The following is a 19,974-nucleotide window of genomic DNA, read 5'->3' as shown; positions in this document are numbered from 1 at the left end:
GGCATGAAGGACAGGTATTGCCGTTCAGAGACTTGTCCAAGATCACACAGTAATCTGGCCAAATTTCCAAACCCAGAAAGTTAGACTAGAAGATCTCCGATGTATCATTCAAGTACTTATCCTCCGTGCCTCAGAAGGTTGGGCATGAACTGTAAACAAATATGCAGAATCAGTCCTTCTTTTATTCCATTAAATTCAAAAAGACCTGGATAGGGAGATTACATAGCTTAATATAAACACGAGTTTAATCTCCACAACAGTCCCAGGAGATTGGTATGTACATCGTTATCTCCATTTGACAGATGAAGAAAGTGAAGCACAGAGAGTCTAGATGATACAACTGGTAAACCACAGAGCCAAGTTCTGACACAGGTATGCTGACTCCAGAGGCCACTGTTCTTACCTGCCTCACTGCATCCTAACTGAAGGGTTTCCTTGCAGTGGCACTGATTGAAACATCGGATGAAATGAAATGCTCAATGGAAATCAATCGGCAGCAAAGGGCTTGATTCTCCATTGTATACTTTGCCATTCTTTTAGCAGCCTCTGTTTGTGCCATCTGTGCTCTGTGTTCCAAGCATAGGACTGGGTGACACTGGCATTAGAGTCAGAAAAGCCACATTATATATTTTTTCATGCACCTAATCCATGGCTGCCCACTGTCCCTGAATTTGCCATCCACAGTCCTGCTTTTTTGTCTTTGCCTGTGTTCATCCTTCTGCCTCGAATGTGCTCTGCCCACATCTTAATTTGGAGAACGCCTTCTCCTCCTATAAGGGTCACCCACTCTGTGTAGTCTTCTCTGATTTTCCAGGTTTCCCAGAGTTGTTCCATCCTCTGTGATTCCTCAGATTTTGCACTTTCTGGTAGGCACACAGTGCTCCATGGTAACACGTGTCCTCTTTCTCCATGACCTTTCAACCATGTGTGACTTGAGGGCAGAAACTGAGTCTTCTTCAACTTTGAATCTGCAGTGCCAAGGAGAGGACAGGTTCATGGTAGAGGCTCAATAAGCCTGAACTGATCAACTAAATAAATGAAAGCCCTTTTCCTGAAAGGGTTTCTGTGATTCTATGTGATATTTTTCTCCAGAACATGTGGTTTTCAGGCCAGAGCATGGCTTTCCCACTACTTCCCTTGTAAACAACTCTATAAGAGTTTGGCTTCCTGGAATTTTGCCTGCATTTTCCTTATAATTACATCCCAATTGTTTCCTATTTGTTTGACACCTCTTAATTCCCTGGCTTCTTCCTTGTCTAAAAGTTGCCGGCTGTACTCTGATTGCTGGGCTGTTCTAGTCTGGATTGACCTCCTCTCATCAGACAGGCCCTGTGGGCAGAAATTTCTGTTTGGGGGCAGTTTCCTGAAATTTCAGCCTAGGCCAGATCATGGGCTTTGGGCTTTATCACTTATTTGGTAAATGAACGTGCTATTTCACTTTGCTAAACTTCCATTTCCTCACCTGTAGAATGGGATCACTTCTATCTTCTTCCGTAGGATGTTTTGAGGATTTAATAAGTTGTAAATATGCAAAATACTAGCACATACTAGGCACTTAATAAATGCTCTAGTCTCTTTCCCTATGCAGACAGGATCTGCTTTTTCCTGTAATGCACTGCATTATCCATAAAACAGGGAAAAGAATACTTACTGTGCACAGTTATGAGAAATAAAGTCCATAGAATGATTTTAATTATTGTGGACACATCCCCACCTAGCACCCTCCTTTGACACCATGTTATTAAGCAGAAACTTACAAATAGATAAGTTATTTTTCTGTGGCTCAAACCACACTGCCCTGCACCTATTTGTTACACAAAAGCATGCTTGATGAACAAGTGCTATGAGAACAAGTATGGAAGAAGACTGATGAGCTCTCCTTGGGTAAGTGGGCAGGGCAGACTTCAGGAGACCAGGACTCACAGGGACAGAAGGGTGGGGAAGGTACAAAGCAGCCCTCCCTCCTCAGACCTCCAGACTGAGAGACAAGGCAGGGCTAAGAGTAAGGACTCGGAACACAGCCCTGCCTGAGGAAAGTAAATGTAAGACAATAAAAAGAAGGCTTTGAGAGAGAAAACCAAGGCTAAGTCCTGGAAGCGCCATTCACTAGCTGATCAACCTTGGGCAAATTTATGAGCCCCTTTCCTCACCTGTAAAATGGGTTGGATAATCCCAGCTTGTACCGTATAAGAGTTTTGCATCAAAATTACACAAGATAATGTACGTGGGCACAGTTTAAACTACAACATTGTGTGCCATTGGGAGGGAGTCTCTTAATAATCTTTTAGTCTGTTTTTAATCTTCAAGCCTGTAGGTCACCTGCCAACACACTTTGCCAAGAATTCCTTAAGATACCATCTGAAATGCTTCACCTAAATCCAAAATTCTAGGAGGCTTTCGTAAGAAGATTGGCAACCAGAGAATTCTCCAGTGCTTGTCCAGGAGAGTCTTATCTTAAACCACCTTTGCTGTTCCCTACAAAATGTTGACCATGTAAGGACAGAAGGGGAAGGAATACAGTCCATCATTCAGTATCCAGGGAGGATTGGTTCCAGGAACCACCCACAGATACCAAAATCCACAGATGTTCAAACCCCTTATATCAAATGGCATAGTGTTTGCATAGAATCTATGCACATCCTCCTGTATACTTTAAATCATCTCTAGATTACTTATAATACCTAGTTAAGTGTAAATGTTATGTAAATGGTTGTTATTCACTATTAGTTGTTTATTTGTATTTTCTTGTTATATTGTTTTTTTGTTTTTTTCCAAATATTTTTTATTTGTTGTTGGTTGACTCCTCAGACAAGAAACCCATGGACATGTAATTAAGCATCTGTAATTAATGCAATTAATTACATGACTGTAATTAATGCAATTAATTACATGACTGTAATTAATGCAATTAATTACATGACTGTAATTAATGCAATTAATTACATGACTGTAATTAATGCAATTAATTACATGACTGTAATTAATGCAATTAATTACATGACTGTAATTAATATGGTACATAATTATTCTCTTTATCATAAATTATCACTTCAAATACTAATATTGTCAAATTATTATCATTCTCTTTGCCATAAAAGCTAATCTTTTGTATTTTTAATTTGGATGTGGGATCTTGACAGGTGGGGTCATGCATAAATGAAATTGTATTTGAACATCCACACATGTTGCATACAGAACCTTGGACCCGTGCCCAGGCAATTCTTTCATGTGCTGCCATCCAAGAGGAGGTCTCATTTGAAAACTAACAACTGATATTCCTTCACCATCCAAGTGTAAACAGAACTCTGATCCAAGAACTTGCTATTGTGCATCTCTGGTGGGCATTAGCCCATGTTGAAAAATTCATCATGACTGGTGGTCACAGTGTTAGAAAAAAAATTATTATTTTTCTGTCCTCAAACCCTCAAAATAAGAGTAGGCATTCCATAAATGAAATCAATAAGTATGTGAAGCGCACTTTACAAATTTTTCTCTGATTCTCATAATGCCACCACAAAGTAGTTATTATTGTACCCATTTTACAGGTGAGAATGGTTGTAGGGTTGTCTTGAAGTAACTTTGGGCATCAATAGTGACAGAACCGAGAATGGGCTAGATGTTTATCATCACAACTCAGCAAATATTGTTTCAGTGTCAACCATGTAAAAAGTCACTTTAAGGCCAGGCGTGGTGGCTCACACCTGTAATCCCAGCACTTTGGGAGGCCAAAGCGGGCAGATCACTTGGGCCCAGGAGTTCCAGACCAGGCTGGGCAACATGGCAAAACCCCATCTCTACTAAAAATACAAAAATTAGCCAGGTATGGTGGTGCACCTGCAATCCCAGCTACTTGGGAGACTGAGGCACGAGCATTGCTTGAACCCAGGTGGTGGAGGCTGCAGTGAGCCGAGATTATGCCACTCCAGCCTGGGCAACAGAGGAGGACTCTGTATTCAAAAAAACAAAGTCTCTTTATTAAGATTGAAGATATGAGGATGAAACAAAACAAGTTTAGTCATTGCACTTGTGGAACTCACAGCTTGGAGGTGAAAACAGGTTCATCAGATTTACAATCACTTCTTTGTTGTGTAAGGGAGAGAGGTAACATAGTGCAAAAGGAGTTGACCTGGGTTGAGGTGGGGAAGAGAAGTAGGGTAGTCACAGCACAGCGGGAGTAAAATAGGGTCAGGGGAGTTTAGAGGGTAGAACTTTGCAGGCAGAGAGAGCAGAGAGGAGCAATTCAGGGCATAGGAGAGAGTAAAGGAGAAGCAGCAGGAGGGGTGGATCATGAGGGTGGGGAGCTGGGCAGAGCTGTCCAAGGGCTCCACCTCCATCCTGACACCTCCAAAGGGCCTCTTCAAGGTCTTCTCTGGGGACAGACATGCACAGATTAATGTGCCCCAACTTGCTTCTTACCCGCATTTATCCTCCTCACTGCAGCCTCAGTGGACATAATGCAATTCATTGCAAGGTGGTCCATGGTCCAAGTCAGGGATGTTGGTGCCCAGGTGTGGGCTGTGACGGTGGAGATGGGGAAGAGTGGATGAATTCAGGGATCCTGAGGAGGCAGCAGGACTCTGAAGCCACAGAAAAGCCCCAGCCTACTGCTGCCAGGGCACTGATGGGGGATGTTACGGAGATGAGGAATGAAGAGCAGGAGAAGGGCAAGGGGGAGTCCCAAGCCAGGGTGTCGGCCTGAATTACATTGTTTGCCAATGTGTACTTTTTTCTTTTCTTGTTCTTTCCTTTTATTTTTTCAATCATATGCATATGATACAAACTATTATCTTTTAAAAGTTTATACAGGATTGTAACCCTGTTTTATATATGGGAAAAGGCTGACTCCCTGTGGGTTTTCTGTATTTTCATATTGACATAATTCAAACAATGTGATGAATCAACTCTCTGTAATTTCTGAAGCTGGACTCAGAGAAGCTGAGTTTTATGGAAACTTTATTGAGCTGTGCCCTGGGGCTGGGTGGCAATCCTTGGGGAAAAGGGTATTTGGGGGTAGGATTTACACACTGTTCACTGTGTTCCGGAGCATTCTTCCCTCCAGAAATTAACATGAATGTTGTATGGCATATGAGGAAAACTTAGGGGTTAAGTGACTTGCTTATGGACACCCAGCTGGTAGGTGGTAGAATCTGCTAACTCCAAGTCCAGGGCTCCTTCCCTGAAGGTGTGCCCCTCCCAGGAACAGATGACACAAACCCGGCTCTGAGGAAGGAGGAGGCTTCTGGGGTATTTTTCCTGTCTCTCCAGCTTTTCCAGGCTGTTTATTTAACCTGAGTGGGTCTCTTCACTGCGCCTGAGCATCCCCTTTCCCAGGCACATTAAGGAGCAAGCAGGGGCTGCTCCCCTTGGAATCCATTTTCTCTTCTGATAAAGACCTTCCCAAGTTGGCAGACAGAGCATCAGGCTTCTAGCCCTGACTCCAGGGCCAGTGTTCTTCTCCCACTCCCCACAGCTTCAGTGAGATAATTCAACTGATGAACAAAGGAATCATGTGTTCAACCTAAGAGTCTCTTCCAAATCTAAGCAGATAAGAGGGAATATTCAAATCTTAGACTCTCAAAGGCAGCTAGGGGATTTGATCTTCCTTTTCTGGAATAGGTCGGCATTACTATCCATTTTACACATGAAGAAAAAGAGATTTGGGAAATGTGAGTAATTTGCCTGGGATATTTAGTAACATGGTCAGGATTTGAACCCAAGTTTCAGCTGTAAGAGTCCCCAGCACAGTCTTCAGCAATAGTAGGTGTTCAAGATGTTTGTTCCCTTGCATGCTTCCAACTCTCTGCTGATCCTGCCCCTTCTCTGGAAAGTAGACACCTATCGGCATTTTTCCAGAGTGAAAGCAGCTGTTCCCTGGGTACCTGTGCCTTTGTCTCAAAGTTGTGCCATAAGTATACCTCTAAGGAATTAACAAGCCCGCATATGGTATAGGGTAGATGGGAGGCTGCACTAAGGTGGCATAAAAGATTTTTAATAGAGCTTTACAGGAGTGAACCCTCTGGCCAGGCAGGGTAGGGAGTGAGGCAGAGGATTGGGGTGGAAAGATGAGCAGATCTGACAGGTGGACAGTCAGCTCTGATGGAGAAAGAGGAGCTAAGAAAAAGCCACAGCCTCCACGGGAGAGTGCTGAGCTCAGATCCTGGTGCTGGGACTCACCATGTGACCCAGGGCAAGTTCCTTCCCTCATGAAACTTACCTATGCATTAACGAATCTGCATGTAAGAAAATGTTCTAAAAGCAGACATGAGAAAGGGAAGAGGGAGGAGGAGAGGAAGAATGGATTGGTTCAATCAGTGCAGGTTCACAGTGAGGCCAGAAGATCATCCCCACTCCATACCTCCTCCCACCCTGTACCCTGTGAGCAGATAGCAAACAGGCATCCCCTTGCCCCCACACTGACCATGCACACTCAATAGTTGTGCATAGGCTGTTCTTGCTAACAGGAAAGGTTTTTGTTCTCTTCTCTGCCTGGAAAACTCATAATCCATTTTTCAGGTCTCAGGTCATGTCACCTCCTCCATGAAGTCTTCCTTGACTCCTCTCTCACCTCCACCCACCCTCAGACACTCATACCTTTGAGTTTTTACAGCATTGTATATACTCCAAGGACAGCATTTATTACCTTGTTATTATTGTAGTAGTACTATTACTAGTGGCATAAAGTACTATTTAAGGAACACTTTTTGGGGGGGGCCAGACATAGTGTTATGGTCTTTTTACAAATTATGTATCATTTAAATTTCATCACTATGCCATAAATTAGGTATTTTCTTCTCAACTTTAAAAGTAAGGAAACTAAGGCTCCAAGAGGTTGGTGGTTTTACTACTGTGTAACTCAAGCAAGGGACAATGCCTGTATTTAGGGCCAGGTCTGATTCCTTTATAATTCCCTACTGTTGTTCAGCCTGAACAAAGAAGTAATAATAGGTGATAAATGAAATGATGAATGAATGTCACCATGGAGTGAGGGAGGCTTAAATGTGAAGCATGGCTTTAAACAATCATTTTATTTTGCTGTGACCATCCCAGAACATCCTCACCTAGGTATAAAAGTAGACCTTAAGGATCATGTAAGTTAACCATAGGGAAAGATCTAGAGGAGCATGGGCTGACCTGGGGCACAGAGCTGCCTTTGGCACCTGTCCAGATGTATTTCCTAGCTTCTGGTGGGCAACCCTCTTCAAACCTCTACTTCCCAGAGCTCTGTGTTAGAGACTGGCCCGATTTTCTTCCCTGCAACAGAAACCTTTCTGTGTCTGTCCTTAGAGACAGAAGGCACACCAAACCTCTGTATTTCTTGGTTGTGCTCTCCCAATTAAGCAAAGAAGCCAACCGAAGACTCCCTGAGACAAACTAATTGCATCTTAACAGGCTCTGTGCCTGCCAGCTTTGGCCCAGATTCAGATTTTATAGGCCACTTCGCCCCACACCCAGGGTTTATGATGGAAATACTGACAAAGCTTCACTGATAAGGCAGCAGAGGACCCAGGAGACCAGAAAACCTAGTAATTTTCCAGAGTCTAAACCCAGCCTCTACTCCAGGGGCCCCTCACGAGGCAGGATTCTGAAGTGTCAGCCAAGAGGACCCTGGCACAGGGCTGTTTGTTTCCACTCCAATGCACTCCAGAAATTTGGTAGGATACCTTGCTGGGATTTTTAATGGCAAGTTTCTCCTTCGGCATCACCTGGTATCCAATTAGTTTTCCCATTCTTTGGGCTGCTCAATCATCCCTTCATTTGTTCAATCATTCCTCAAATTCTGAACTCCTCTGCCAGGCTGTGCTGGACACTAAAAAGAAGTACTACTTGGGTGATTAATTTTAAAGGCTACTCTATTAAGGTCACTCCACTCAGCCAGGTATTCATTGAATGACTTCTCAAGGATCACAGTTCCCATCAAGCCTGCCATGTGGACTTTGTGCAGTTTGTGCACTGCACAACTCTAGGGGATGCCATTCACCTAGACTAGGATCACATCAAGTACCCTCTATAGAGAATACAGAAGAATAAAAACAAAACAGAAAATGAAAATACCATATATTCAGTCTATTATAGAAGGAAGAACGTTCAAAATAAACAAAGCTGCTGAGTCACTTAGCAATTCCCTAGCTCCTAGAAAAATTTATAATTTGTCTCCAAAAGAGAAAAACAAATCAGACATATCATTCCCTTGTTTAAAACAGGGCTTCTCAACCTTGGCACTGTTGATACTTTCGGCCAGATCATTCCTTTGTTGTAGGAGGCTGTCCTGTGCAATGGAGAATGTATAGCAATGCTCTTGGCCTCTACCCACAAGATACCAGTAGCAACTTCCCCCTCACCATTGTGACAACCAAAAATGTCTCCAGATGTTGCCAAATGTCCCAGCAGAGGTGGGGGAGAGAAAGAGGCAAATCATCCTTAGTTGGGTCAATGGTTTAAAATAACCTTCTGTCTCACTTTCTATAATACCTTCCATGGCCCTCTAAGTGAAGTCCAAGACACAGGTTTTCATGCTGCTTATCAGTCCTGCCTCATCACTGGCTATTCTGCCATACCTTTGCCCATGCACTTTCCCCTGCATGCAAACATCAGCCCCACCTCCACCTCCCATCTCACCTGGTTTAACTCTCCTTGTCCTGCAAGACTCAGCTTGGGTCCCCGAACTCGTGAAGCCTGTGTTGACCCATCCCCTCTCCCTCAGCAGTTGAAATCAGCCCCTCTGTGGAATCCTTGGCACCCCAGCATCTCTCTACTCAACACTTAGACTTGTGGGAGTATCAACTCCTGTGAAATTATTTGCGGATTTGGGGGCAGTAACTATGTATCCCCAACACTTAGTAAAGTCCTGGCTCAGATTTATTTATTTAGAAATTGTTCTATCTTATTCAAGATGGATGAAGGATTAAAAAATAAAATAAAAGCCCACACCCTCTACCAGCATGCCCTGCAGAATTATCTATGACTTTTTGCCAGAGAGCCAGTGCTTTCAACTCCATTGCTAACCAGCTTTCTGATCTTAGGCAAGTTCGTTCAGCGCTCTAGTCTGCCTCAGTTTCCTTATATGTAAAATGGGAATCTCTTTGGTCTTCCTCTCTCATGATGATTTTAAGGCACAAATTAATTATATGACCCCTTAGTAAACTGCCATTCATTGTACGAATGTGAGATGTTATTATACTGCTAAATAATAAGATCCTCGAAAACATAAATGTGAATTGAAGCAAATATATTAGAAGAATTCTTTCTTTATATGGAAAGTTGGCCATATCCTGAATGTAAACAGCGTTTTATTTGTTTGGATTTTTTTGTTGTTTTTGTTACTTCAAAAAACAAGCCTTACCATTTGCTGATCCCTACCCTACCGAGACTCTTAGTATTTCAATTAAGGAATTTTTTATTTCCTCCTGGGCTGGAATTCCAGTAGTTTCTTCAATTTCTTTGAAGCAGGTCACACCTTTAACTGGAGGACATTTTTCTACCAGACATACAGCCTGTAGAACCTTCCATTTAAACAATTTTATAGAGTGATAATAACTAGGATAGAAAACTTTAGAAGAGGAGCTGCTTCTAAAATGTATTCTTCACTTCAAAGACAAAAAAAAATGCATTTGGTTTAAGAAAATGAAGTTGAAAGACATCTCTTAAGAATTTAGTGCTATTACAGGTTGAATTGTCTCCCACAAGAAAAGATATGTGAGGTTCTAACCTCCGGTACCTGTGAGTGTGATCTTATTTGCAAACAGTTTGCAGATATAACAGTTAAGATGAGGTCATACTGTTTAGGATAGGCCATAATATAATTGGCAACCTTATAAGAAGAGGATAAGAGACACAGACACAGAGGAGAAAGCCATGTGAAGACAGAGGCAGAGGTTGGAGTCATGCAGCTACAAACCAAGGGACATCAGGGATTACTGGCAACCATCGGGAAAGAGGCCTGGAGCAGATTCATCTTCAGCACCCCCAGAGAGAATGAGCCCTGCCAAAAGCTGGATTTTTGACTTCTAGTCTTCAAACTTATGAGAGCCAAGCATGGTGGCTCATACCTGTAATCCCGGCCCTTTGGGAAGCCAAAGCAGGAGGACAGCTTGAGCCCAGGAGTTCGAGGCCAGCCTGGGCAACATGGTGAGTCCTCATCTCTACAAAATAAATATATTGAAACATTAGCCAGGTGTGGTGGTATGCACCTATAGTCCCAGCTATTTGAGAGGTTGAGGTGGAGCAATGACTTGAGCCCAGGAGGTCAAGGCTGCAGTGAGCTGTGATCATGCCACTACACTTCAGCCTGGGTGACAGGTCAAGGTACTGTCTCAAAAAAAAAAAAAAAATTTATGAGAAAATAAATTTCTGGTGTTTTAAGCCAACCAGTTTGTGATATTTTGTTGGGGCAGTCCTAGGAAACTAACACAAGCACCCTATCCCAAATTATGAACTGTTTCCTCATATGAAGTCTTCCTTCACCCACAGTCTATTACAACATCTAGACAGAAAAATAGACAATAACAACAGATTGGGAGCCCTCACCCCTCAAGATGGAAAGAATTTAAAGAGTACTTACTACTTTTGACCCACTCTGTGTCTTCAGCACCCGTGATCATGAGAACACAGAGCAAAGGCTCAGTAAATGCTGGTTTTCTGAACAAAACTGAAGCAAGTCTCCATGAGACTTATAAAGCCTTAGGCTGAGGTTGACCAAGGAGAATAATTTTTCTCCAGTTACGAGGAGACAAAGTCAAAATGTGTGCCCTGAAGGAGAGTTCTGAAACCCAGTCTAGAGCATATCTCCAGGCAATGGGGCTGGCAATTAGTACACCAGGTGCTAAGGAAATAGGAAGAGTGAGGAAAGTGGGTCAGAACCTGCCAACCAGAAGTTGCCTTGATGATCACACAGATGAAGCACCCCGTCCTGGAGTGTATAGACATGCACACTTCTGGGGAGTATAGTGGCCATGGCTTAGTTTTTTGGCTGCGTGGTATTCAATCCCTATTCCTATTACAGAGGAGTCTTTCTTTATATATATATTATATATACTGTTAGTAGACACAGTGCCCTCCTTATTACTATCACAATTGAAGATGAAAGATGTTCTATAAGTGCATGCCTTGGAAGCCACAGCACAAACACATGACCTAGGCCCACCTGTCAGGCATGAGAGCAAGGGATGCAAAGTTGAAGGAGTAGTTAGATTTATTCACAGTGGGCACAACTGGATCCAGTTATAGTCACAGTGAGTAGGGAGTGATGTGAGTCACAGTGAGTAGGGAGTGATGTGAGGCCAACTTCCATCTCCCCAGACTAGAAGCATAACACAATACTGCTGTCCTCTTTCCCATTCCCCACTGATTTTTGTTGTTCTTGTTGTTGAGACAGAGACTCACTCTGTTGCCCAGACTGGAATGCAGTGGCGCGATCTCGGCTCACTTCAACCTCCGCCTCCCGGGTTCAAGCGATTCTCCTGCCTCAGCCTCCCGAGTAGCTGGGATTACAGGTGTGTGCCACCATGCCCGGCTAATTTTTGTATTTTGTTTTAGTAGAGACAAGGTTTCACCATGTTGGCCAGGCTGGTCTTGAACTCCTGACCTCAGGTGATCCACCCACCTCGGCCTCCCAAAGTGCTGGGATTACAGGCATGAACCACTGCACCCAGTCACCACTGATTTTTCTTCATGGGAAGAAGAGTCACATATGTAATTATCAAGTTTAGGGGAAGAAATTAGACTACTATTTCCTTCTCTTTTTTCAAACTAGCCTGCCTAAAGGGACACATAGATTTTACTTCTCCATGCCATGAGTTTACTGTGGCAGGTTCTAGCTGCAGGACAAGACCTGTGGTGGTTCTGCTATGCCAATGACCAGGAGGAAGTCAAAATTTAGGAATGAGATATAAGCAAACCCACTTGGCCTCAGATCTAAAGCCACATTCTCCAACCAGATTTTTCAACAATAAAAGCAGTGTTTTAATATGTGATTACTCTTTCTATCTCTCAATGGGCTTTAAGCTCAAATTGGGAAGAATGTTATTTACTGGGTACCAGGGAATTAAGAGGGAGAATTCTAGGCACTAATGTCATCACCAGTGTTTGACAGTTGAGGGATGATGTTGATTTTGAAGAAAGAGAATTAGGGGCTATCTCCAACACAAACTGCTATTCTAAATTTGCTCCTTACAAGAAGTAAATCATCAATGTCTGACTTGGTATATAATGACAAATATTTTTCTATACCTAGTATCAGAAAACACTGGAAGAAGTTTGCTTTCACCTAGGAGAAACAGCATATACTAGAAGAACAGATACACCTTTTCTGCCTCAAAGAAGTATAAAAACTCCTGGTCTGTGTCATAATTTAAGCCACAGGGACCTTGAATATATTCCCAACCCAGGTGGCAGAACATCAGTTCACTATGTCAATTGCATCATGTTGTTAGGACCAAAACATAGGAAACAGCAAGTACCATAGATGCTTTCGGTAGGACACATGCAAGCCATAAATCCTACAAAAAAAATCCTATGAAAATGTAGAGACTTTATTTCTGTGAATTCCATAAGTGCCAGCATTCGAAGACATTTTGCAATAGTCTCTCAAAAATGAATGTTAATTTGAGGTACCTTGTGCTTCCTACCACTTAGAAAGAGGCACAATAATTGCTGAGCCTTGGAATTTTGGTGGCAACATATACTACACTTGGATATGCTATGTTAACCCATTTGGGGAGTAAACTACCAGCTTGGAGTGGAGTACTCACTAGAAGGGGATCTCTGCCCAGCTCAGGCCATAATGCAGTCAGTGGTGCAGCTTGTATATGATGACCCAGCAGATCCAACAGTATTTCTTAGAATGCTGTCCAGCACCTATAGCAAGCCTCCAAGCAAGAATCACAATAAAAAGCCCTTGAAGTCTAAGGGCGAATCTGGGACCTATCTGGCAAATGATTATGCTCCTTTTATAAAGCACCTTTTGGATTGCTACTGGGCCCTTTTGGCAATTGAATAACTGAAAGTGGGACACAAGATAAGCCCTCACCCCAAGCTGAACACCATGAACTGAGTGTTAGGTCTTCCACCTGGCCAGAAAGTTGGCCAAGCCCAGCAGCAGGCCCTCATACATGAAAATAGCATCTGTGGAACCAAGCTTATAGGCTCATAAGGCACAAGCAAGTGGCAGAGGCAGGCTGCTCACACTCCCGCAATGCCCACTCCTGCCATAATTCATCTCCTCCAGTAACACATACCTACAGTTACATGGGAGACACCTCAGACTGGTGGACTGTGACAGAAATTCCACCCAGGAACCATAGAGAAGGGATATTTGCACAGGAAGCAAAACTTCAAGCAGTACCGTTTTAAGTCCACTTTGCAAAGGATGGAAGGAAGACAGGGAGGGAGGGAGGAAGAAAGGCAGACAATGGGTTTATGCCCATGGGATTCATTTGGTTTTAGAATAAGGCCATGAATAGAAGCTACTGTACTCACAGAATAGTGTCCTGGTGGGTTGAAGAATCATTACCCATGCCAGCAGGGTAACACCTCACAAGATGGGGTATTATCCTACAGAAAGTAATAAATACTCTCAATAGGGGAATAATTTTTGGTTCTGTTGCTGTCATAGCCAGAATAAAGCATCCAGAGCCAAGGGATAGAAGAAAGATTTGCACTTCTTGTGCCTCACTTATAACTTTTGCTTTCCATTCCTACAATTTGGGGATCTGTTAGTTTAGTGACTTGCGGGGAAGCTACGCTTTGGGGAGGAATGCTTCCACGAGGGGCCACAACAACCATCATGCTGAACTGGACCATCTGGTCATTTCAGATTCCTTATGCCCCTGAGAAAACAGGACAAGAAAAGAGGCAGTCACCAAACTGACCATAGTATATGATCCTGATTGTCAGAGAAAGATAGGATTGCCAACAATGGGAGCATGCAGTAGTAAGAATTAGGAACCGCCCCTCGCTCAGTGGCTCCTACTTCTGCCATATCTAGTAGTAAAATCAGTGGAAAACTTCTGCAGCCCCATACATACCAAGAGCTCATATCCCTCAAAACTAAATATTGGGGCAACCCACCAGGGTGACCAGTGAAGGGCTGGCTGAAGGCAAAAACAAAGCCAAACATTGAAATGGAATAATAAAGAGAAGCCACAAACACCAGTTATGCAGAAGTGAAGATCATAGCCTCTATCTACTTACTTCCTGATAGTGTCAAGTATTTGTATATTTTACTGCAGTTTCCTCTTCTTTACTCTCCATTTTCCCCACTATTACATATGTGGCTAATAGTAACAGTGAACTTTACAATTAATCCTTGGGCTTTAGAAAGAACTGGAGGCATAGTAGGGATGCAGTAGCTGGTCAGGCTTTTGTTTTTATTCTTTTGGGAGAGGCTGAGACCATTTTTAGTTGTAAGAAAAATGTGTGTGTGTGTGTGTGTGTGTGTGTGTGTGTGTGTGTGTGTGTGTGTGTTGGATGAACAGATATGGAAAGATGGATTTGTGTGGAGGTGGGACATTCAAATCAACAGAATATACATTTTTTTCCGCACCACACCATACCTATTCCAAAATTGACCACATAGTTGGAAGTAAAGCTCTCCTCAGCAAATGTAAAAGAACAGAAATTATAACAAACTATCTCTCAGACCACAGTGCAATCAAACTAGAACTCAGGATTAAGAAACTCACTCAAAACCGCTCAACTACATGGAAACTAAACAACCTGCTCCTGAATGACTACTGGGTACATAACGAAATGAAGGCAGAAATAAAGATGTTCTTTGAAACCAACGAGAACAAAGACACAACATACCAGAATCTCTGGGACACATTCAAAGCAGTGTGTAGAGGGAAATTTATAGCACTAAATGCCCACAAGAGAAAGCAGGAAAGATCCAAAATTGACACCCTAACATCACAATTAAAAGAGCTAGAAAAGCAAGAGCAAACACATTCAAAAGCTAGTAGAAGGCAAGAAATAACTAAAATCAGAGCAGAACTGAAGGAAATAGAGACACAAAAAACCCTTCAAAAAATTAATGAATCCAGGAGCTGGTTTTTTGAAAGGATCAACAAAATCGATAGACCGCTAGCAAGACTAATAAAGAAAAAAAGGGAGAAGAATCAAAAAGACGCAATAAAAAATGATAAAGGGGATAGCACCACCAATCCCACAGAAATACAAACTACCATCAGAGAATACTACAAACACCTCTACGCAAATAAACTAGAAAATCTAGAAGAAATGGATAAATTCCTCGACACTTACACTCTCCCAAGACTAAACCAGGAAGAAGTTGAATCTCTGAATAGATCAATAACAGGAGCTGAAATTGTGGCAACAATCAATAGCTTACCAACCAAAAAGAGTCCAGGACCAGATGGATTCACAGCTGAATTCTACCAGAGGTACAAGGAGGAGCTGGTACCATTCCTTCTGAAACTATTCCAATCAATAGAAAAAGAAGGAATCCTCCCTAACTCATTTTATGAGGCCAGCATCATCCTGATACCAAAGCCTGGCAGAGACACAACAAAAAAAGAGAATTTTAGACCAATATCCTTGATGAACATCGATGCAAAAATCCTCAATAAAATACTGGCAAACCGAATCCAGCAGCACATCAAAAAGCTTATCCACCATGATCAAGTGGGCTTCATCCCTGGGATGCAAGGCTAGTTCAACATGCAGAAATCAATAAATGTAATCCAGCATATAAACAGAACCAAAGACAAAAACCACATAATTATCTCAATAGATGCAGAAAAGGCCTTTGACAAAATTCAACAACCCCTCATGCTAAAAACTCTCAATAAATTAGGTATTGATGGGACGTATCTCAAAATAATAAGAGCTATCTATGACAAACCCATAGCCAATATCCTACTGAATGGGCAAAAACTGGAAGCATTCCCTTTGAAAACTGGCACAAGACAGGGATGCCCTCTCTCACCACTCCTATTCAGCATAGTGTTGGAAGTTCTGGCCAGGGCAATTAGGCAGGAGAAGGAAATAAAGCATATTCAATTAGGAAAAGAGGAAGTCAAATTGTCCCTGTTTGCAGACGACATGATTGTATATCTAGAAAACCCCATTGTCTCAGCCCAAAATCTCCTTAAGTTGATAAGCAACTTCAGCAAAGTCTCAGGATACAAAATCAATGTACAAAAATCACAAGCATTCTTATACACCAATAACAGACAAACAGAGAGCCAAATCATGAGTGAACTCCCATTCACAATTGCTTCAAAGAGAATAAAATAAATACCTAGGAATCCACCTTACAAGGGACATGAAGGACTTCTTCAAGGAGAACTACAAACCACTGCTCAATGAAATAAAAGAGGATACAAACAAATGGAAGAACATTCCATGCTCTTGGGTAGGAAGCATCAATATTGTGAAAATGGCCATACTGCCCAAGGTAATTTATAGATTCAATGCCATCCCCATCAAGCTACCAATGCCTTTCTTCCCAGAATTGGAAAAAACTACTTTAAAGTTCATATGGAACCAAAAAGAGCCCGCATTGCCAAGTCAATCCTAAGCCAAAAGAACAAAGCTGGAGGCATCACACTACCTGACTTCAAACTATACTACAAAGCTACAGTAACCAAGACAGCATGGTACTGGTACCAAAACAGAGATATAGATCAATGGAACAGAACAGAGCCCTCAGAAATAACGCCGCATATCTACAACTATCTGATCTTTGACAAACCTGAGAAAAACAAGAAATGGGGAGAGGATTCCCTATTTAATAAATGGTGCTGGGAAAACTGGCTAGCCATATGTGGAAAGCTGAAACTGGATGCCTTCCTTACACCTTATACAAAAATCAATTCAAGATGGATTAAAGACTTAAATGTTAGACCTAAAACCATAAAAACCCTAGAAGAAAACCTAGGCATTACCATTCAGGACATAGGCACAGGCAAGAACTTCATGTCTAAAACACCAAAAGCAATGGCAACAAAAGCCAAAATTGACAAATGGGATCTAATTAAACTAAAGAGCTTCTCTACAACAAAAGAAACTACCATCAGAGTGAACAGGCAACTCACAAAATGGGAGAAAATTTTCACAACCTACTCATCTGACAAAGGGCTAATATCCAGAATCTACAATGGACTCAAACAAATTTACAAGGAAAAAACAAACAACCCCATCAAAAAGTGGGCCAAGGACATGAACAGACACTTCTCAAAAGAAGACATTTATGCAGCCAAAAAACACATGAAAAAATGCTCACCATCACTGGCCATCAGAGAAATGCAAATCAAAACCACAATGAAATACCATCTCACACCAGTTAGAATGGCAATCATTAAAAAGTCAGGAAACAACAGGTGCTGGAGAGGATGTGGAGAAATAGGAACACTTTTACACTGTTGGTGGGAGTGTAAACTAGTTCAACCATTGTGGAAGTCAGTGTGGGGATTCCTCAGGGATCTAGAACTAGAAATACCATTTGACCCAGCCATCCCATTACTGGGTATATACCCAAAGGACTATACATCATGCTGCTATAAAGACACATGCACACCTATGTTTATTGCGGCACTATTCACAATAGCAAAGACTTGGAACCAACCCAAATGTCCAAAAATGATAGACTGGATTAAGAAAATGTGGCACATATACACCATGGAATACTATGCAGCCATAAAAAATGATGAGTTCATGTCCTTTGTAGGGACATGGATGAAGTTGGAAATCATCATTCTCAGTAAACTATCACAAGAACAAAAAACCAAACACCGCATATTCTCACTCATAGGTGGGAATTGAATAATGAGAACACATGGACACAGGAAGGGGAACATCACACTCTGGGGACTGTTGTGGGGTGGGTGGAGGGGGGAGGGATAGCATTGGGAGATATACCTAATGCTAGATGACGAGTTAGTGGGTGCAGCACACCAGCATGGCACATGTATACATATGTAACTAAACTGCACATTGTGCACATGTACCCTAAAACTTAAAGTATAATAATAATAATAATAATAATAATAAAGAGGTAGGCATAGGGGGACATTTGTTAGCTCTTCTTGGCTGCCCAGCCACATCTCTTTTTAGTTGGAGGGAAACCCCAGAGTGAGGAGCAACCTATCGTCTCTATCAAAGCCTGAGTAGCAGGGAAACCCTCCCTCTTCCCTGCCCCAGCTGCCAACAAAGTTGGCCAGATGAGTGAGGCCTGGGGTTCATTCACACCCACTGTCCATGGTGAGGGCACTGATGGATGACTGACCTAGCCATCTTCCAAAAGATGAATGTTTGCTTCTTGCTATTTGTCTCCCTGATCATCAGATCAGGGAGATCTGATGATCTCCTTTGATTGATTAAAATCCTTTGATTTCTTTCTAGTTCTGAAATCTGGTCCTCTAGAATCTGCTGAATCTGGAGTCTCCAATTCCCTTCCCATAATTTTGCGGAGGGTAGGAACTAATTTTCATTGGTTGGAACTGAGAACCTTCCGAAAGTAGTGTGACTCTAAGTACGTGGTTGATCTAGATTCACTTGACGCGTCCCGGATAGAGCAGATGATGAAAAGAAGCTTTTAAGTACTGGCTACAATAGCAAAGTCATGTAACCAATCTAAGTGTCCACCAACAGTTGATTAGATAAAGTAAATGTGATACACATATGGCATACTACACAGCCATAAAACAGAGTGAAAGCATGTCCTCTGCAGCAACATGGATGGAGCTGGAGGCCATTATCCTATGTGAACTAACTCAGAAGCAAAAAATCAAACATCCCATGTTCTCACTTATAAGTGGGAGCTAAACAAAGAGTACATAAGATGGGGACATAGACATAAACATGTCCATAAACATGGACATAAACATGGGAAAAACAGACTCTAGGGACTCTAAAGGGAGGAAAGCAGGAGGAGGGGGAGGGTTGTAAAACTATCTACTGGGTACAATGCCCAATATTTGAGTGATGGGTACACTAGAAGCCCAATCCCCACCATTATACCTATAATACCCATGTAACGAACACCACATGTACTCCTGAATCTAAAATAAAAAAATAAAAATGGAAGATTTTAACAGATATTAGTTGGCATTATGTTCTAGCCACCGTGGGGAGAGGCTGGTCCCTTCACATGCATGCAAGATCTCTTTCTACCCACTACAACCCTATGAAGTCAATAGTATTCTTATGCCCATTTTAAAGATGAGAAAACTGTGGCACAGAGGGGTTAAGTAACTATTGCAAGTCACACAGCTAGAATGTAGAGGTGTGTGTACAAGTGTGTGTAAGAACATGGGCTTCAAGGAAGACCCAACTCCATGAAGGGCCCTGGAATCTGCATCTCCTGGAATCTCATCTGACCTATGCTCTCCTTCCTCTCAGGAGAATGTCTTCTCCAAGCAGCTATTTTTATGGGAACCAGAGGATACTGACCAGAGGAAGATAAGGAGCCTTTCCTTCACATGGGTCTAAGAAACTCACCATTTTCCTCAACATCTGACCTGACAACTGGTTTCCCAGCATTGGCCCCAAGAAATACCACCTGCCATCGCTACCTGGATTCTGCAGCCCCCAAAGCCACAGCCTTCCACCTTCCTTCCCCAGCAAGACAAATGGGGTAACCTGTTTGTAGCATCCTCAGGAGTCCTTGGGGGGAGGAGAACCTGACGGAGATGAGAAGATAGGCCACGCCCAGCTCCAACGAGTGGCACACGTGTAAGCATTTAAGCATTTAGGCTGGCTGAGGGTGGCAGTCCTGACCTCTGTTTTTAAGGAAGCCTGCCCAGGGTTTTATAGTCCAGGGTTCCTTGTGATCCTCAAGGCTTCCTTTACTCCTACCCCTGAAAAAACTCCAAGGGAAGAACTTCAAAGCTGCTTTCTCTTTATAAATCTCACAGCCTGGGGACATTCTGCCCACCCAAGTAAAACCCCCAGATCTATGATGCATCTGGAGGTTTCCAAGGCTTCCCTGGCTTTATTGGATAGTCTCTTCCCAAC

The 19,974-nt window shown here is 42.5% G+C and overlaps 1 annotated feature.

Moving 5' to 3' along the window:
* Window positions 3,720-3,889: an enhancer, noted in NCBI's record as "experimental_8495 CRE fragment used in MPRA reporter constructs". NCBI's record gives its function as "activates a minimal promoter by MPRAs in K562 erythroleukemia cells, with activity observed for both the introgressed and non-introgressed 1:55973931 variant alleles {active_cell/tissue: K562}" and the evidence as "EXISTENCE:reporter gene assay evidence [ECO:0000049][PMID:34662402]".

Source organism: Homo sapiens, chromosome 1 (assembly GCF_000001405.40).
Source record: "Homo sapiens chromosome 1, GRCh38.p14 Primary Assembly".
NCBI lineage: Eukaryota > Metazoa > Chordata > Mammalia > Primates > Hominidae > Homo > Homo sapiens.
This window is presented reverse-complemented; position numbering and strand designations above follow the sequence as displayed.